General features: G+C 47.0%; 1 protein-coding gene across 13 annotated transcripts in view, besides 7 other annotated features; it reads left to right on the top strand.

Annotated features, from left to right (window-relative positions):
• Positions 1-19690, top strand: part of RAPGEF1 (Rap guanine nucleotide exchange factor 1) — a 163302-nt gene that overhangs the window by 15472 nt on the left and 128140 nt on the right. For 3 of the 13 annotated variants that reach the window (XM_047423251.1, NM_198679.2, XM_011518571.3), the window contains exon 1: positions 14763-14985. The exons of the other annotated variants lie outside the window; for them this stretch is intronic. In XM_047423251.1, the coding sequence (XP_047279207.1) occupies positions 14922-14985 (64 nt within the window). In that variant the 5' untranslated portion in view covers positions 14763-14921. Of the gene's footprint in view, positions 1-14762; positions 14986-19690 lie in introns of those variants that run through there. 13 annotated transcript variants of the gene reach the window in all.
• Positions 1410-1909: an enhancer, noted in NCBI's record as "H3K4me1 hESC enhancer chr9:134598083-134598582 (GRCh37/hg19 assembly coordinates)". NCBI's record gives its function as "activates a minimal SCP1, AML or CMV promoter by ChIP-STARR-seq in primed H9 embryonic stem cells {active_cell/tissue: H9 hESC(primed)}" and the evidence as "EXISTENCE:reporter gene assay evidence [ECO:0000049][PMID:30033119]".
• Positions 11536-12035: an enhancer, noted in NCBI's record as "H3K4me1 hESC enhancer chr9:134587957-134588456 (GRCh37/hg19 assembly coordinates)". NCBI's record gives its function as "activates a minimal SCP1, AML or CMV promoter by ChIP-STARR-seq in primed H9 embryonic stem cells {active_cell/tissue: H9 hESC(primed)}" and the evidence as "EXISTENCE:reporter gene assay evidence [ECO:0000049][PMID:30033119]".
• Positions 12036-12537: an enhancer, noted in NCBI's record as "H3K4me1 hESC enhancer chr9:134587455-134587956 (GRCh37/hg19 assembly coordinates)". NCBI's record gives its function as "activates a minimal SCP1, AML or CMV promoter by ChIP-STARR-seq in primed H9 embryonic stem cells {active_cell/tissue: H9 hESC(primed)}" and the evidence as "EXISTENCE:reporter gene assay evidence [ECO:0000049][PMID:30033119]".
• Positions 14395-14494: an enhancer, noted in NCBI's record as "active region_29209". NCBI's record gives its function as "activates an Ori minimal core promoter by ATAC-STARR-seq in GM12878 lymphoblastoid cells {active_cell/tissue: GM12878}" and the evidence as "EXISTENCE:reporter gene assay evidence [ECO:0000049][PMID:35858748]".
• Positions 14395-15185: a biological region, named in NCBI's record as "H3K27ac hESC enhancer GRCh37_chr9:134584807-134585588".
• Positions 14404-15185: an enhancer, noted in NCBI's record as "H3K27ac hESC enhancer chr9:134584807-134585588 (GRCh37/hg19 assembly coordinates)". NCBI's record gives its function as "activates a minimal SCP1, AML or CMV promoter by ChIP-STARR-seq in naive H9 embryonic stem cells {active_cell/tissue: H9 hESC(naive)}" and the evidence as "EXISTENCE:reporter gene assay evidence [ECO:0000049][PMID:30033119]".
• Positions 16627-16686: an enhancer, noted in NCBI's record as "active region_29208". NCBI's record gives its function as "activates an Ori minimal core promoter by ATAC-STARR-seq in GM12878 lymphoblastoid cells {active_cell/tissue: GM12878}" and the evidence as "EXISTENCE:reporter gene assay evidence [ECO:0000049][PMID:35858748]".

The raw sequence follows: 19690 nt of genomic DNA, 5'->3' as shown, positions 1-19690 counted from the left end.
TTTTTTTTCTGAGCCGGAATCTCGCTCAGTCGCCCAGGCTGGAGTGCAGTGGCGTGATCTCGGCTCACTGCAAGCTCCGCCTCCCGGGTTCACGCCATTCTTCTGCCTCAGCCTCCCGAGTAGCTGGGACTACAGGCGCCCGCCACCACGCCCAGCTAATTTTTTGTATTTTTGGTAGACACAGGGTTTCACCGTGTTAGCCAGGATGGTCTCAATCTCCTGGCCTCGTGATCCACCTGCCTCGGCCTCCCAAAGTGCTGGGATTACAGGCGTGAGCCACCGTGCCCGGCCGAGTGGACTTTTTTCCCATGAACCCTATGGGCAGTCTGCTACTTCGTATGTGTATATGGCCTTCCTGAAAGCATGTCTGAAAATTGAATATCAAACCTGTATCTTAACAATACACTGTCAGCCGGACACTCACACAGTCCGATGAGTTACCTGAGTGAGGATGAAGATCTACAGCTTTGGCATGGCCACTCACCTCTGTCTTCTCTCGGCAGTAGTATTTTATGAAACCTGTGTTTTTCACTGGTATCAACTATTCCATTTTCTCATTTTCACTACTTTTTATAAAATATTAATGGCAAAATATAATAAAGCAGTCAAACTCTTTCCACAGCAACAATCACTGCCACCACAACAAAAACACCCCACAGAAAATAAGTGTTGTGGAGAATGTGGGGGAATCTGAACACTTGTGCGCTGTTGGCAGGACTGTAAAATGGTGCAGCCACTGTGGAAAACAGTATGGCAGCTCGCCAAAAAACTAAAAATAGAACTACCACATGATCCAGCAAAGTATATACCTATGGGTGTGTACGCAAAAGAAGGGAAAGCAGGGACTCGAGGAGACCTTTGTGTACCATCTCTGTAGCAGCATCATTCACAACAGCCAAAAGATGGAAGTGACCCAGGTGTCCACTGATGGGTGAATGGATAAAGAAAACGTGGGCTGTTCATACATGGAATATTATTCAGCCTTAAAAAGGAAGGACATTCTGACATGTTCCAGTGTGGATGAACCTTGAGGACATTATGCTAAGTAAAATAAGCTAGTCACAAAAAGACAAGTACCATATGATTCCACTAGACCGTGAGGTGCCTACGCTAGACAAAATTATAGCAACCGAAAGGCGCTGAGGTGGCTGCCAGGGGCTGGAAGGAGGGAGGAATGGGGACTATTTCAGTTTTGCAAGGTAGAAAAGTTATGGAGATGGCTGCTGGTGATGATGGCACATTATGAATGTTACTTATTACCACTGAAGTGGTAATAAGTGGTAATCACTTTAAAATGATTAAGATGGCAAATGTTATGTGTACTTTACCACAGTTTTTTCAATGTTTATATAATTACATAATTTAATCTTAAATATCTTTTTAAAATTTTTATTTATTTATTTATTTATTTGAGACGGAGTCTCGCTCTGTCACCCAGGCTGAAGTGCAATGGTGTGATCTCGGCTCACTGCAGCCTCCGTCTGCTGGGTTCAAGTGATTCTCCTGCCTCAGCATCCTGAGTAGCTGGGGCTACAGGCATGTACCACCACACCTGGCTAATTGTTATATTTTTAGTAGAGACAGGGTTTCACTATGTTGGCTAGGCTGGTCTCAAACTCCTGATGTCAAGTGATCTGCCAGCCTCAGCCTCCCAAAGTGCTGGGATTACAGGCGTGAGCCACCATGCCTGCCCCCCGCCCCGTTGTTTTTGTTTGTTTGTTTGTTTTGTTTTTTAAATAGAGATAGGGTTTTGCTCTGTTATCCAGGCTGGAGTGCAGTGGTGTGATCATGGCTCACTGCAGCCTCAAACTCCTGGGCTCAAGGAATCCTCCCGCCTCAGCCTCCCAAAGTGTTGGGATTACAGGTGGGAGCCACCATGCCCAGCCCATGAAGCTTTTAATCCAGGGCAGATCCTGCACCTCTGGATGGGGACCCAGTCATCTTGGACCTGGGCCTTTCAGCTGTACTGGGCCCCTGCTGTCCCCTGGCAAGCTCCCATTCCCATCAGGGGCCGATGGAAGTCCCTGGGAGCCTAAATGTCTAGTTGAGCTCTAGCCCCTGGTGGTGATATAGCTTGGCGCGTAGTTAGTGCTTGGCTCATGTCGGCTGTTAGTAAAGACTCTCAAGCTCTGCATTGGCTTCCCTCCGAGGGCTCTGCCTGGATCCATCAGCAGCACTTACTCTCTCTGAGTTGACAACACAGATGGCACTTACTCCAGAGCTGTTTGGCAGGATTCCAGGCTATCGCCACGTTCTTGAGAAGGTATCACTGGCTTGGGGGAGGGGAAAAGAGAGGACGATCTAGGCAAAAGCAAGATCAAGGCCCTCTCCAAGAATTTTCCAGCCTGGCAGGCCCTGTTAGGTGGCATGGTACCGCTGTGTGAGTGGGAGCGCCACCTGGAGATGGCCACGATAGGGTCTCTGTTCCCACGAGTATCATTAACACGTCTCTCTATGAATCTGGGTGATAACCAATTACCTTGGGGTTTTTTTTTGACACTAAGACACCAACACATATAAGACATGTAAGGCGTTATCGATTTAATGTTTCTCAGGAAACAAAGGAGAAAATACATTAGCAGGTGGATTATAAAACGCACCTTGATTTCAAAAGTGAAGCTGTGAAAAACTACAGTATCCAAGGGAGATTGATTTTTGGGACCCCCAGTGGATACCAAAATCCACAGATGCTCAAGTCCCTGATGCAAAATGGCATAGTACTTGCAGATAACCTATGCATCCTCCCATATGCTTTAAATTATCTCTAGATTACTTACAATACCTAATACAGTGGAAATGCTATATAAATAGGTGCTATACCATCTTACTTAGGGAATATTGACAAGAAAAAAGTCTACGTGTTTCAGTTACAGACACAACCATCCATTTTTTTTTTTTGCCTGAGGTTGGTTGAATCCACAGATGCAGAACCCATGGCTACAGAGGGCCAAATGTCTGTGACTTAGAATCAGGGAGATACAGTATAAGCCACTGACCCGTCTTCGAGCTGAATTCTTCGGCGACTATTCCATACAGTTGGTGGCAATAGATGCCTGGAACACTGGTAAAGAAGTCAGGTCTCCTGCCCTCATGGAGCTTGCTGTGACTGGGTCCAAGTACACCCCTCCAAACGAGACTTCGCCTTAGACTGAAGGGTTGGACTCTGGATTTTTGCTTGTCAATGCACCTCTCTTCTAGCCTCTTAGTTAGATATCCGGACACCAGAGGAAAATTACCCTGAGGATCACCGTGCTGACAGAGCGCGTGACAGATGGAGGGATGAGCACACTTCCCGGCTTCTGCCTGCTGTCCTGGCATCATTATTAACAGAGTCCTCCCTACCCCCTTCGAAATGTCCTGATTTGGATGAGAAAACACTGAGGGAGTAATCATTAACATCTATCGCGTTCCACAAATTCGCACTGGAGAGGGTCTGGGTTTGCAGTGAGAGAACTGCTTCAGGTCCACAGCCTGTTCTAATGCAGGTCAAGTCCATGGAGTCTGCGGGAGGGTCGGTGGGATTGTCTGGGGCTCCGTTCTCCCATGGGCATCTGCTACTTGGCATGTTCCAGTCACTCCTAGAAGCATCAAAATCTGGGATGGTTTGGTTCAAGAAACATAAACATGTACATATAACAACCAGATCACATTATCTTAAGGTAAAAATCACATCAAATCTCAAATTGTTATTCTTTGGAATGGATAAAAGGGATATTAGTATTTTTGTCAATTTAAGTTTTATAGAGAAAGTTGGAAAAATAATTATATAGGGACACTTGTCTTGGTTAACTTGGACAGAGATTTTTTTTTCTGTTGCTGTGGAAAAGATACAGGCATAGGATTTTTCTAAGAAGTTTCATTTTTTATGCAAGTGATATACTGTGGGAGGAGGTTAAAGGAAACAGCCAGAAAGACAGGTAAGAAGCTTGATGTTTGTGACAAATTGATAACTTGCAGCCTGTGATGTTGGCAGGTGTTGCTGACAGGGTCATCTGGGGCCAGGTGGTCGCTGTCCTGAGGACCTGCCGGGTACCCAGAATGCTGCCTGCCTGTTCGGTGGCTCTCAAACGTCAGCACCTGGAGGTTTCTGGGCTCTGGCGCCTGGTTTCTGATTCAGTAGGTCTGTGGTTGGGCTGAGAATGAGCATCTCTAGCGAGTTCCCTGGGTGACACTGCTGGTAGAGGTGGGGGGTATCTTTGGAACCACCACTCAAAGTCTGGAGAGGAATTGGAAGGGTCATAGGGACTTACCTGTAAGATAAAAGGTTGCCCTTATAATAATAATGATGATGATGATGACGTAACAAAGAATTTCTGTGCAGTAATGCCAGGAGCTGTGCTATGTGTATTTAATCCTCTCAAAAGCACTGGAAGGAGGTGACAGTGGCCTCATTTTACAGATGAGAAAACTGAGGCCCAAGGCTGGGCACGGTGGCTCACGCCTGTAATCCCAGCACTTTGGGAGGCCAAGGTGGGCGGATCACCTGAGGTCAGGAGTTTGAGACCAGCCTGGCCAACATGATGAAACCCTGTCTCTACTAAAAATACAAAAATTAGCTGGGTGTGGTGGCCCATGCCTGTAGTCCCAGCTAATCGGGAGGCTCAGGCAGGAGAATCGCTTGAACCCAGAAGGGGGAGGTTGCAGTGAGCTGAGATCGTGCCACTGTACTTCAGCCTGGGTGACAGAGTGAGACTCTTGTCTCAAAAAAAAAAAAAAAAGAAAGAAAGAAAAGAAGAAAATATAGCTGTGTGGGCAATAGTCAGATGAACTATTCCCCTAACTTTGCCCCAATTCGGTGTATGACTATGTACAAATCTTAACTCTTTCAGATCTCAAAGAAAAGCTCTGTGTCTTAGTTTCCTCCTCTGTAGAATGAGAACAGTAACAGTATCCTTCTCTTATCGTGAGGATCTAATGCAACCACGAGAGTAAAATACACAGAAAGGAGCCTGGTACTGCATGGGCTAAGTGCCTAATGAACATCAGCTTACTACTATCTCTCCGGGTGACAGAGTGAGACTGTCTCAAAAAAAAAAAAAAAAAAAAAAAAAGCCCTGAAGGGTTTATGTGACTTGTCCAGCTGGGTTGAAGAGCTAGGTTGAAGCCGCTGCCCAGTATTGAAACAAACCCTTATAAAATAGAGAAGTAGCTTAATAATAGCCCCAAAAAGACATCACAGACTGAAGACTTTTCTAGTAGTATAAGTACACGTGAACAAGAAAATGGTGACACTTCTGCTTCCAGTTCATGCTTCTTGTCAGCAGTATTGCGAGGGAAAAACAACAGTGATCTAATGAGCCCTGACAAGAGATGGCCAGAAGCTGAGCAGTTGGGAAGAAAACTCTTTGGTGAATCTCACTCTGAATGTATATTGTGCCTTGGGATATTAGCTGATTAATTTGGATGACATATTAGTCATGATAAGCAAGACATTTACAAACTAAGCATCCAGAACGTGAAAACTAAAATTTTGCCAAGCACCGTGGCATGTGCCTGTAGTTCCAGCTACTCTGGTGGCTGAGGTGGGAGGATCACTTGAACCCAGGAGTTCAAGTCCAGCCTAGGCAACATGGTGAGACCCTGTCTCACACACACACACAAAAAGCCACAACCTCTAAAATTTAAATTATATCTGAAGTCACGCAGTACTCCCATGAGTAATTTTACAGCATCAAGTGTACGTGCTCTGTAAAGGGTTTCATCTCAGCCTTCTGTTTTGGGCTCTTCTGTCTCCTGAATTGCCATTTGGGAACAGGCAGCCTAGTCCCGTGGCACTAAGCCAGCTAGCTAAACACTGGTCCTTCTCAAATGCATGTTTCCAGCCCCTCTTTAGGACATTATGCACCTGAACCAGAACTCTTGGTTCTCCCCTTCACTCTCTGCCTGGTAACTCACCTTGGGTTCCCCTATCACAGTAAATAATGCCATTTTTGATCCGATTGTTCAGGCTTAGAAATCTTGGTTTGGATGAGAAAACAATGAGGGTGTCCTTGCCTCCTCTCTCCCAGCGCACATCCAGTCCCTCGGTAAACCCCTGCGATTTACTCCAATAAATCCTGACTGGTCCTTCTTAGTACCTCCTCTGCTGACCCCTTACTCCAGGCCACCGCCGTTTCTCCCTGGACTGCCCCATGCCTTCCTAACCGGCTTCTTGGTTTCTTCTCCCAACTCACAGCCATTCATTCTGCATTTCACAGCCAGAGTGTGAACTGGATCACATGGATCCTCTTTATGATTGCCTGGGGCTTCCCCACACATGTGAAGCGATCCGAGGTCCTCGACGTGGCCTGTGTGCGCCCTGGACTCTGGCCCTTAACTCACTCCCTGACACCCCTCTCCCCGTCACTGTGTCCCAGCCACACTGGCTTTTGTGCTCTTCTTCCAGGTGTTCCTTTCCCTCAGAGCCTTTGCACTTGCCGTTCTCTTACTGGAACATTCATTCCCCAGATATTGTAGGGCACCTGCTGAGAAGCCATGGACAAGAGCCACGGTTTAAAGGCTGCTGGTGCCACCGTTTGCTGATCATGTGATCTTGGGAAAAGTTGCTCACCCATCTCCTTTTAAAAATCAGTTTCTCATTGATAAGATGGATCCTGCGGTAGGGTTTTGGTGAGTTCATGCTGGGGAGTACTCGATTGGAAGAACTGGGCAAACATGAGTTCCTCTTCCTGTGTCCTTTGCTCCCTATCCCTAGCTGCCTCACATCTTTGTTCAGATGCCACCCAGAGAGGTCAGCCCTAACCACTGGGCCCAGAATAACAGATAGGGTGCGCATCACTTTCTGTCCCTCATCCCCCGCTCTTTTTCCCCCTTTAAATGTAGCCTTTTTTTTTTTTTTTTGAGACAGTCTCACTCTGTTGCACAGGCTGGAGTGCAGTGGTGCAGTCTTGGCTCACTGCAACCTCTTGGGTTCAAGCGATTCTCCTGCCTCAGCCTCCCCGGTAGCTGGGATTACAGGCATGCACCACCATGCCTCGCTAATATCTTGTGTTTTTAATAGAGACAGGGACCATGTTGCCAAGACTGATCTTGAACTCCTGAGCTCAGGCAATCTGCCTGCCTTGGCCTCCCAGAGTGCTAGGATTACAGGTGTGAGCCACCGCGCCTGGCCTATTTGCTTCTTTTTTATGATATTTTCCCTCATTGGGAGGTAAGCTCCCTGTCGGCTGCTATTTCACCAGAGCCCAGAATGGTGCCTGGCACATAGCTGACGCTCACTAATTTTTGTTCAGTGGATAGTGAGTACCCATTGTGTATGGACTCCACACCTCTTAAGGGAGACAGGTGCATTTTTACAAGCTTGAGGAGCACAGCCAGAGTGCAGGCTGTGACCGTGTTCATCCTCATGCAGCTCAGTGCAGAGGGCCATCAGCAGTGAGTGGCTCTGTCAAGTTTATCTGGAGGCGGGGAGTTGTAAAGGGCAGAGGCATCACAGCCTGGAGGCTGAGGTCAGCGGGCTGGCCAGGAGAGGGGCTGGAGTCTTCCCCAGTGCGGGCATTACCCCTTCCAATACTGCCATGGTCCAAGTGAAGCAGAGGCTGTGGGACCCGAGGCTGTGGGACCCTCAACACTGATCTTTGAGAGTCCACTGGATGTTGGCTGTGAGGTTTCCTTTGACTCGCTGGAGAGGAGGGACAGGAGCTACAGTGCAGGCAGGCAGGTGCACGGCTATGCACAGTGTCCAGTCGCCGTGTGAGGAAGTGGGAGATGAAGGTGGGAAAGGTAATTTGGGGCCAGACTCCAAAAGGCCTTGAATGCCAATCCACGTACTTAGGACTTCTACCTTTAGTATTACAGGAAGCATCGAGGGGTTTTTATTATTTTATTTTTTTGAGACAGGGTCTGCCTCTGTCACCCGGGCTGGAGTGCAATGGCGCGATCTTGGCTCACTGCAACCTCTGCCTCGCAGGCTCAAGCCATTCTCTCACCTCAGCCCCCCGAGTAGCTGTGACTACAGACACACATAACACAATGCTTAGCTAATTATGTTTTTCCTTTTTTTGTAGAGACAGGGTTTTGCCATGTTGCCCAGGCAGGTCTCAAACGCCTGGGCTCAAGTAATCAACCTACCTCTGCCTCCCAAAGTGCTGGGATTACAGGCATGAGCCATAGTGCCTGGCCACATCAGGGGTTTAAGAAGCATTCTCCTTACATATTTAGACTTTCCACCAAGTCTTCCAAATTTCTCCCTTTCCCATACTGAGGGCTACGTTTAGTTCCTGGCCAAGTCCTGACTTTGTAAAGAACAACAAGTAAACAGCTTCTTCAGAAGGCTGGATGCTGAGCCCTGATTGCCCTTCAGTGAACCAGCCTCATCCATGAAGCTTCTTGAAAAGCCAGAAACTGTATCATTGGGGGGGTCCTTGAAATCTGAAGCAAGGGACAGGTTCTGAGCCCCTGTGTTTTGCAGATTAGGTTGCACAAGAAAGATGGGCTGGTGACTTTGCAGTTCATTTCCGTAGATTGTCCTTCTAGGCCTGCCTGGATAGAAGCAGCCTCGTGTGGGATCCAGCAGCAGTGGCCAGTGGGATGGGAGCCAGCATATGTAGTTGTTGACACATCCCCTGCAGACGTGGGTCGGCGGGCTAGCTGTGGGAGAGCACTGCAATGGGAGTCAGTGACTTGGGGCCTCTAGCCTCCTGTGAAAGGTCTTTTTTCTCTGGACCTCAGTTTCTCCATTTTATTGTAATGAGTTGGGCTAGATCAGTAGTTCTTAACCTCTTTTTTTTTTTTTTTTTTTTGAGAGGGAGTCTCGCTCTGTCACCAGGCTGGAGTGCAGTGGTGCAATCTCCACTCACTGCAACCTCCACCTCCCGGGTTCAAGTGATTCTTCTGCCTCAGCCTCCCGAGTAGCTTGGGAGTACAGGTGCTCACCACCATGCTCAGGTAATTTTTGTATTTTCAGTAGAGATGGGGTTTCACCATCTTGGCCAGGATGGTCTCTATCTCCTGACCTTGTGATCTGCCCACCTTGGCCTCCCAAAGTGCTGGGATCCTAAGTACAGACGTGAGCCACCGTGCCCGGCCATTCTTAACCTCTTGAAACTCCTTAAGACTTTGGTGAAAGCCATAGACCTCTCTTCCCAGAAGAATGAACACGTGGTTTGCCGGCACCTTAGGAACCCCCAAAGCCCATGAGACAAAGCCCTGGATCTATAAGGCCCTGTCCCATCTGACCCCCGGCCTTCCCCTGGGCACATACCTCCAGCTACACAGGTCTTTCATACACACTGCCCCTTTGCCTGGTCCAGCTCTGCTCATCCTTCAAGTCTCACCCTTCCCTGACTTCCAGCTTAGATTAGGTCGCCCTGCTAGACATGCGTCCCCCACCCTGAATTTAGCACTGATCACCGGGATAACTAAGTGATTCTTCGTGCATGTTATCCGACCCTCCCCAAGCTCCGTGTTGGTATTTGTTGAGTAAATCTCTGAGGCCCCTCCAGCTATGACATTCTGAGACTGATCTATAAGTTTGCAGATGTGTCATAAGAGAGTCCCTGAGCTTGTATTTCCTATGACATTCGACACGTGGTGGCCTTTGCCTTCGATGATTTCCTCCAGGCCTGGACAGGAAAGTTACTTCAAAGCAGTCTCGGCCAGACTCGGTGGCTCATGCCTATAATTCCAGCACTTTGGGAGGCTGAGGCTCGAGGATCACCTGAGGCCATGAGTTTGAGACCAGCCTGGCAACCAAGCAAGATGCTATCTCTACAAAAAATAATTTTACTAATTAACCAGGCATGGTGGCAAGTGCGTATAGTCCCAGCTAGTCAGGAGGCTGAGACAGGAGGATTGCTTGAGCCCAGCAGTTGGAGGCTGCAGTGAGCTGTGATTGCACCACTGCACTCCAACCTGGACAACAGAGGGAGACTGTCTCAAAAAAAAAAAAAAAAAAAAAAGGCAGAGTCTAGAGGACCCCAGAAGACAGAAGAGTGCCTCCCAGACTTTCTGCCTCAGTGCTTTGCTAGGCCTGACCTCCAGGCTGGTCATCGCTTTTGTTTATATTCTGGGCTGAGCTGGAACTCACACTTGGAACATTCCCACAGTGCTTGGCGCTTCCTCGTATTGTTGTATTTTTCTCCAGGAGGGAAGTGACCAACATCAGACTTTCCTCCCAGCAGACAAATTCCATACACAAAGCTTTGTGTGAGCTACCGGGTACCCGCCTGAGAGCCCAGCCTCTGTTTCTTTGGTTCTGGGTGGGTGAGTGTGCACATTACAGGGATCCACGAGCCCTTCCCTTCTGAGCCATTTCTATCTAAAAAAAAAAAAAAATCTCCTTCAAGAAGTGAGCACCGCCTTGCAGGATCCTGACTCAGAGTTCGTCTGGAGCCAACAGCGTCTTGCGTGTAGGGACAGGCACTCCTTAAAATGTTTCCTACTTCAGTGGCCACAATATTACCCCTCTGGCTTATGTCATGTTCCACAATCAAAATATCATTCCTCCTGGAGTCCAGCTACTCGGGAGGCTGAGGCAGGAGGATCACTTGAGCCTAGGAGTTTGAGGCCACCTGGGCAATATAGGGAGACCCTGTCTCTTAAAAAAAAAAATTATTCCTGAGGTACAGATGTTTGTAAGATAAATTTTATTTTAATTATACTAAGAGAATGATTATTTACTAGAATATTGCAGTGGATCTTACTCTGATATGGGGGAGAAAATCCCTAGTGAGGGTAAATAATTTTTTTCAATGTATTGTATCTAAAGCTTGGAGATTTATAGGTAATAATAATAAAAACAGTGACAGCTATTCTCATTGAGTATCTGCTGTGTACCAACAAATTTTAAACATCTTTATTTTAGTTTAGTTTTTTAGAGATGGGTTCTCGCTCTGTGGCCCAGACTGGAGTGCAGTGGTGTGATCACAAATCACTGCAGTCTTGACCTCCTGGGCTCAAATGATTCTCCTGCCTCAACCTCCCACCTCAGCCTCCCAAGTCTGAATTCTTATTTAACCTTTAAACTACCCATGAAGTAGACAGCATAATGGTACACATGAATGTATGTGAAAATACAAGGTGTGGAAAGGTTTAGTTTCTATCCCAAAGTTGTTCAGCTAGGAAGTGCCCCCATAGATTCAAACCAGGCCAGCTGGCCTTCAAAGCCAATTCCTTCACACTGCCCTCCTGCCTCCTCTGGTCATGAGGAAATGGGTAGCAGAGGTTTTCCTAGCCAAGGATAAAGATTTGGGGGCTGGATCCAGCCCTCCAACTAAATGCCTAGCGTTGATCCCTGCCCCTCTCTGAGGAATCTGTGAAATGGGGAAGGGAGTCGCTGGAGCAGATGATCTTGTGGATCTCCTTGGGTTTTACAGAGATTTGAGGCTTGGAGTAGTCATACCTGAAGGAGTGACCTTGATAACACATGGCCAGGTCGGGTCTGATTGAAGGCAGTTCGTACAGCCACAGCGTTCTCGGCGTATTTGTGCAAGGCTTGGAAACTCATCACAGTGGCTGTGCAGTCAGCCTTCTGCTTCTGGTAACAGTTCACTTTTGATTCTTCCCATTTGTGAAGAATCAGAAAAATTTTCTGTTGTCTCCCTGAAATGTGGACTGGAGATGGGTCGCTTGCCCATCTTGGATTGCAAGCATATTGGTCTTTGGGGATGGCTCTATGTTTTTTTGTTTGTTTGCTTAGTCTGGGACACTGCAGAGGGGATGACTGTAAAAGACGCTTTCTGAGCTGGGGATTAGAGAGGAATTCTTAAGATTAGGTTATTCTGTTGCTCTCCCCCTCCCCCTACCCCTGAACAGTTCACATTGGAGTTATTTTGGGGGAGCCATGATTGAGAAGGGTTGGACCACAGGGTCCTCATTTCAAAGCTGTTCTCTCAAGGAAAAATGTCCAGTTCATTCTAAAGGTTCATCAGTATATTAGTTGTTTGGAACCTAGGATGCGTTTTTTCATGGAAACACAGTTACAAATGTGTTGGCCCCCAGCTGAGAAACGAGAGAGGGCACACCTGAGCCCAGGTTCTGTAACTGTGACCCATTGTTGTCTGTGTGCACAGGCGCCAGGAGGAGCTGCCCCAGACACGGCTCCTGACTTCAGGGGCTTCGCACTCCTGATAGGGAAGAAATTCCAGGGCCCAGAGTGGCCTGAGCTAAGGAGTGGGGAAGTGGAGGAAACAGCGCCCCAGCCGCCCATACCCTCTGACTCTTGCTAGGAGAGGAGAGGTTGTTTATGGATTAGAAACTCTGGTTAATGCATTCCAGGGGGTGGGGACAATCAGTGTGTGTATGTTGGGGATAATTCTCATTGGTTTATTCTGTCACCTATCCACTCATTTATTCAACAGAGAGTTATTAAGCACCTACTGTGTGCCAGGTATTCTGCTGTGCAACTGTTAGTTTTCACTGGACCCCTCTCGCGTGGTGGGGGTTCCCTGTGCTTTATTCCAGTTTGTGGCTGCAGTTTAATCTGGGGAGGAGCTTGCGGGCTCTGTGAGGGAAACAGGGAGCCTCTGCACCCATGCTCTTTCCTGCCACCTCATTGGAGACGGTGCGACAGACACATGCCATTTGCTTTGCCAAGTTTGGACTCTCAGGCCGTGATTTTGCAAAAATGATCTCTGTATTGGTAGATCAATTATGAGGCCTTAAGATCTTGTAGAGATTTGGATTTTGGTTTTTGTCTGTTTTGCATAAATTGGAAAGATTATTTCCCCTTCCTTCAGAAAGGAAGGGCCTGGTTTAACACAGTGGCCCACTGCGCCCAGAAACTTAACAGAGCATTAAGTGCCTCTTAAACTTGGTCTCTCTGGTTCTGTGGGTCTTTTTTGGAATGTTGTCCCAAATATTACTCCGGTTCTATACTTGCTCCCATTTTGTACCATCCAACTCTGTAAAATAAATTTACTTTGGTGCTTTTGACTAAATTGACCGAAGCCAGATATCTGCCACCTAAGCTAATGTATTTTCCGTCTACAATTATAAAAGTGATGAAGGGCTGGGCGTGGTGGCTCACGCCTGTAATCCCAGCACTTTGGGAGGCCGAGGCGGGCGGATCACTTGAGGTGAGGAGTTTGAGACCAGCCTGGCCAACGTGGCAGATCCCCCATCTCGACTAAAAATACACAAATTAGCTGGGTGTGGTGGCGCACACCTGTAATCCAGCTATTCAGGAGGCTGAGGCAAGAGAATCACTTGAGCTTAGGAAGCAGAGGTTGCAGTGAGCTGAGATTGCACCACTGCACTCCTGCCTGGGTGACAGAGTGAGACTCTGTCTCAAAAAAAAAAAAAAGGTGATAATAGGCACAGTGCAGTGGCTCACACCTGTAATCCCAGGACTTTGGGAGGCTGAGGCAGGAGGTTCACTTGAGACCAGGAGTTTGAGACCAGCCTGAGCAACATAGGGAGACCCTGTCTCTACAAAAAAATTTAAAAATTAGCCAGGCGAGGTGGCATGCACCTGTAGTCCTAGCTTCTTTGGAGGCTGAGGGAGGAGGATTGCTTGGGCCAGGGAGGTTGAGGTTGCAGTGAGCCATGATTGCACCACTGCACGCCAGCCTGGGTGACACAGCAAGACCCTGACTCCAAAAAAAAAAAAAAAGTTAAATATTCACCAGGGACCTCCTGAGTGTCAGGCAGCATGCTACGTACTTCACAAATGTTCTCTTTTGTTTGATTCTTATTACAGCTGAGGAGGTGAGACTGGAATTATGCCCAGTTAACAGATAAGGAAACTGAGGCTGCTGTGCTCAACTGGCAAAGCCAAGGGGAAGAGCTAGTATTTGCACCCAGGCTGGAGTGCAGTGGTGTGATCTCGGCTTACTGCAGCCTCCACCTCCCAGGTTCAAGTGATTCTCCTGCCTCAGCCTCCCAAGTAGCTGGGATTACAGCTTCGTCCCACCACGCCCGGCTAATTTTTGTATTGTTAGTAGCGACAGGGTTTCACCATGTTGGCCAGTCTGGTTTTGAACTCCTGGCCTGAAGTGATCCACACACCTCAGCCTCCCAGAGTGCTGGGATTACAGGCGTGAGCCACCTCGCCCGGCTCAGAGCCTGCATTCTTACCCATATTATGCTGTGGGGATTCTTTAGGGGCTTTTATAACCTCAAACTCTGGGACTGAAATAAATGAAATCTTTTCATCCACCTCGACATTGTCTTCCTTTTTACCAAGAATATGTGATTGATTTCATTCCCTTCTTTTCTTCTAGAAAACCCTTTGTTCAGAATTTAGGTAGCGTAGCACTTTCTCCAGCAAAATTGTTCCCAAAGTGCAGTGGGAGTTTGGAGCTTGGGGTTATAAATTCTTAGCTGTATTTGTCCCCAAGGTGTTTTCTTCTTTGGAGACTGAGGTGTAGCAGTGTTTTGATGTTTTGTTTCGTTTTGTGTTTCCCTTGGAAACACAGCATTAGTGAAATCAGCTTGTTTTCTCTGACAGTACTTGTTACGTGGTGCACACTGGTCTGAGCGTGGGACTCTGAAATAGAAGGCGTGGCATAAGGGTCTGTATGAAAATGTTTCTCCTGGCATGCCCCAGAATGGTTCATTTATGACTTTCAGCATTTTGATCACCTGATTCCCCATTTCTCCTGCGGAGAAAAGTGGTATTAAAAGTATTTGGACATAAAATTCATCTTGCAAGCCGCTGTTGTGCTGATGAGTAATAAAGTGTCAAAAGGATGCTGAGGAAAGAGCTTCTTAATATAGACCATGCCTGAGAGGCACCGGTAGGGCGATAACAAGCCCTTTCTTCTGATTTCCTCCCTGGGGCCAAAGGGATTTTGAAAGGCAGAAGGCAAAGACTTGAGAATGAGATTCCTCAGGCTTCCCTTGTGAGGCTGCCTGGGTTCTGCCGCTGGGTGGTTTGGGATGTCCAAGAGATATCCCCTTTCAGCCAGTGACTCGGTCCTCAGTTGCTGCTCCGGAAAGACGCTGGGGCTGGGAAGGGCCCTGTGTCCTCTGGCTTTAAAATGGGCAATGCTATTGAAAAACAGAAGCCCTTGAAACGAAGTCATCTGTACCCCTGGAAACAAGGTAAGAAAGCCCTGGGCTTCCTTTCCAGGAAGAAGCAAGGAGGCAGTTTTCTCTGAGAGACTGGCCCAGCAGCAGAGCTGAAGTGCCTGGGGAATCACCTTCCAGAGCAGAAAGCACAGGTAGTCCAACATGATTTCAAGAAAATTCACAATTCTCCTGAGGAATAAGATGATTCCTCTCTCAATATGATGGCTTGGTTTGGCTGAGAGTTTAGTTCAGCTCGAGATGTTTCATTTGGTGCAGTATGTGTCTGTTGAAAATTTTTATTTTTTTTGAAATGGAGTCTCGTTCTGTCGCCCAGGCTGGAATGCAGTGGCATGATCTCAGCTCGCTGCAACCTCCGCCTCCCAGGTTCAAGCAATTCTCTGCCTCAGCCTCCTGAGTTGCTAGGATTACAGGCACCCGCCACCACGCCCAGCTGATTTTTGTATTTTTAGTACAGATGGAGTTTCACCATCTTGGCCAGGCTGGTCTTGAACTCCTGACCTCATGACCCACCTGTCTCAGCTTCCCAAAGTGCTGGGATTATAGGTGTGAGCCACCGCGCCTGGCTGAACATTTTTACTTTTTTAGAAATGTTCCAAGTCAGCCAGGCACAGGGGCTCACGCCTGTAATCCCAGCACTTTGGGAGGCCAAGGTAGGCGGATCACTTGAGGTCAAGAGTTCGAGTCCAGCCTGGCCAACCTGGCGAAACCCCGTCTCTACTAATAATACAAAAATTAGCCAGGCCTGGTGGTGGGCACCTGTATTTCCAGCTACAGGCATAAGGCTGAGACAGGAGAATCGCTTAAACCCAGAATGTGGAGGTTACAGTAGCCGAGATTGCGCCACTGCACTCCAGCCTGGGTGACAGAGTGAAACTGTCTCAAAAAAAAAAGAAAGAAAGAAAAAGAAATATCCCAGGTCAAAGCTTTGATATCTAGGAGTTTGAGGCTTTTGTGATATTTTTTGATTTAGATAATGTTATTAACAGCTTTTAAATATATAGCACTTCCAAAAGTTCCAAAGTACTTTCAAGGTACTTTCTGTAAAATCTTTCATTTATCCATCCTGGACACCCAGGAAGTGGGACAACAGCCTCTCTTAACACCTACTCTGTCTCTCTAGGGCTTGGGGTCATGTCAGCTTGAGGAGGAGGAAGTTGGCAGGGCCACAGAGCAGTGCAGTGGTACATTTGGAGCTCAAGGACCTTTAATAGTGTCTCAGTGCAGGACAGTCTGTTGACGCACTCAGCGGCCTTTTATCACAGTTATTGACCCAGGAGACCGGCCGGCTGGCAGGCATGCCAGAGATGACATATGCGAGACTTCACCAGGTCTTTGCCTCCTCTTGCCAGAAGAAGTTGCGGTAGCATTTGATCAGTAGCAAGACAGTTTTTTCACAACTGCATATATGGGTGTGTTTATGAAAAGAAAACAAATAACTGGAAGAAAATGCATGGAAATATTAAGAGCAGTTGCTGTTTGTCAAATCATAGATCATTTTCTCTTAAAAAGAAAGTAGGTGGGATGCTAATTTACTGTCAGGTTCCAGCCCTTCTGACTTTCTGTGAGTCATTCTTTTGTCTAACATGTTACTTTGGAAAGGGTACTCCTTAGCAATCCTTGATTGGATCCAAGTTTGAACAAAACGGCTATTAAAGACATTGGGGGACAGTTCGGGAAATTTGAATATGAACTCCATGGTGGATTATAATGAGGAACTGTTGCTCATGTGATTATGTGTGAAACGGTGCTGAGTCATGTAGGAGTGTGTGCTTTTTTGAATAGTCATGCTGAAGTATTTAAGGGTGAAGAGTTATGCTATCTATAATTTACTCTCTAAAATCATAATCACTCTGTGATTTTCCCTGTATACACGTTAATAAATTTGTATGCCTTTTCTCCAATTAAAAACAATACTGTAATCCCAGCACTTTGGAAGGCCGAGGCAGGCAGATCACATGAGGCCAGGAGTTCAAGACCAGCCTGGCCAACATGATAAAACCCCATCTCTACTAAAAATACAAAAATTAGCCAGGCGTGCTGGTGCACATCTGTAATCCCAGCTACTCGGGAGGCTGAGGCACAAGAACTGCTTGAGCCCAGGAGGCGGAGGTTGTAGTGAGCTGAGGTCATGCCACTGCACTCCAGCCTGGGCAACAGAGAGAGCCTCTGTTTCAAAAAAGAAAAAATCAAAATAAAAAAACAGGTTCAGCAAAATATACTGTATAAATAAATGGGGACCTAAGATAAGCAAAATGGGATAAGTTTAACAAGTGTTAGAGTCCAGGTCATCGATATATGAGGTTTGTTATACTTTCTTTCATGTATTTTTACACATTAAAATAAAGAACCAGTTCTGACTGTGTCATACATAGTACAGTGTCTTCAGAATGGGCCTTAGCAGACACCGGTATTTACTGAAGCAGACCAAGATGCGGTACTCTTCTGAATTCAGCACCGTGTGGGCTGGTGTCTCCAGCCAGCCAGGAGAAAATCAGCATTGATCCAACTACTTAAAAGCACCACTTTTAGAATAGAAATTTAATATGTTTACTTACGTTTGGATTGTCTCTGGTTCTCCTTAGAAAACCATGAGTTAAAATGTCTGAAGATTTTCATTGGAAGCAGCTGGGTATACAGACAGACAGGTTTGATGTTTTATTTTGTGGTTTTGTTTAGTTGTGTTCAGTAATTTAAATGAGAAGAGTGGTAGGACCACTGTTGGTAGTAGGGATTTCAAGATCCACAGTGAATTGGAGATTAAAGAAGAGAACAGAGCAGTTCTGGTTTTTAAGCCTTCACAGGCCCCACTGACCAGGAGCACATCTTTGGCGCATAGGGTTTTATTTGTTTGGGCTGATAGACCCGGGGACTGCGGTCCAAAGTCCATCTCAGAAGGAAAAGCCGTTTTTCATAGCGCATGGTGTCCTGCTGAAGAGCCGAAATAACAGGGATAGGGAGTGGTCCTTCACAGTTTATTTGTCTTTTTCTTGAAAGGTTGCTTACATTTTGGAAATGGGATTATAGAACAGTGTTTACAAACTGGAATTAAAGATTCCCAGGCACACTGGATGCAGTGGCTCACACCTGTAATCCCAGCACTTTGGGAGGCCGAGGCAGGCGGATCACTTGAGTTCAGGAGTTCGAAACCAAGACCAACCTGGGCAGCATGGCGAAACCCCATCTCTACCAAAAATACAAAAAATTAACCAGGCATGGTGGCGCGCGCAAGTAGTCCCAGCTACTCAGGAGGCTGAGGTGGGAGGATTGCTTGAACCTAGGAGGCGGAGGTTGCAGTGAGTCAAGATTGCACCATTGCACTCCAGCCTGGGTGACAGAGCAAAACCCCTGTTTCAAAAAAAAAAAGAAGAAGAATGTCAGGGCACCACCATGACCCTGATCTGCAGCCCACATTCAACGTGGTTGTGAAATCTTGGTGGGTGGATGATGGCCCCAGGTTCCAGGGCAAAGTAGCATGGTCTGTGTCTAGTTTAGGAACAAGTGAATGGGAATCCTGGGCATATCGTTATGTGGATTTGCTACAGACAGTTGGGACAGACCAGGCGGCCCCTGATTTCTGCCCGGATTCCCCTGTGTTAGGAGCTCTGGAGAATAAGACTTTAACCAGAGCCAAAGATGATCATGATTAGGAAGGGCAGGCCCAGAGTGCATTCCAAAGGCAAATTTAAAGGAAACTGTTATCTGCCATTTAGATCATTTACGTGTGTTTCCATGTCCTACACCTGGGGAGTTGAAAAGCCGCAGAGGCAGAACACTAGTGTGAAAAACATGAGTCTTACAGCCTCCACCTGCTGTCACCCTACAGAGCATTTGATGCCTGCTAGAGAAGCTTCTCTAGTGATTTGAGACAGTGTGGGACACATACCCGATGAGGGGACCATTATACTGTCTGACTTATGGTTCTGGTTTTTATTTTTTGATAGCTCTCAGGACCAACCCCAAACAAGAAAATGTTTTTTACATTAATGGATGCTTCTCGTGGTCGAGAAATCTGACTCATTTGTATTACCGCAGTGAGTTCCAGCAGGCCCCAAACAGAAAAAAATAAGATGGGGAGTGGGACGAAGCAGTGGCTCAAGTGTGACCCTGAGAGTTCCAGCCAGAGCTGTGGCCCAGCCTGCTCTTTGACCTTGAACAGATGCATTTTCTAAGGCCAAATGCCCTCGCTTTCCTCGTCTACAGTGGCCTGTTCCAAATGACTGCATCTTATTGTGTTATTTAATTTACATCCATGGTTTTTTTTTTTTAATTGATCTGTTTACCACTTGATTGTAAACCACCTGAGGGCGGGCAGTCGCAGGGTTCATTGTTTTGTCCCCAGCACTTGCACGGTGCCTGGCACATGTGCCCTCTGTGAGTGCTCCCTGGCTGCAGTTTCCCTGCTGGTATGAAGAAGGGTAGGCTTATGCAGGGCATGGTGGTTCCTGGTGCACAGTGCACAGTGGACGTGCAATAAATAGTAGTTACCAGTGCCAGCAGGTGTCTTTGGGACTTGGAAGGTGGCAGGTGGTTATTTGGGACCTGGAAATGTTCATTCTTAGCCTTTAACTGCCCAAAGTAGTAACACTGGAGAATGAAAATAGGTACACCTTCCTCTATCCCACAGCAATTCTGAGTTTACAAACAGTAAATGTGTTGATGATTGTTCAGTTGCAAATATTACTTCACAAAAGCCCCTCCTAAAGAATCAACATTTAGT

This window comes from Homo sapiens, chromosome 9 (assembly GCF_000001405.40).
Source record: "Homo sapiens chromosome 9, GRCh38.p14 Primary Assembly".
Classification (NCBI taxonomy): domain Eukaryota; kingdom Metazoa; phylum Chordata; class Mammalia; order Primates; family Hominidae; genus Homo; species Homo sapiens.
The sequence above is the reverse complement of the archived record's forward strand: the minus strand, read 5'-3'. Positions and strand labels throughout refer to the sequence as shown.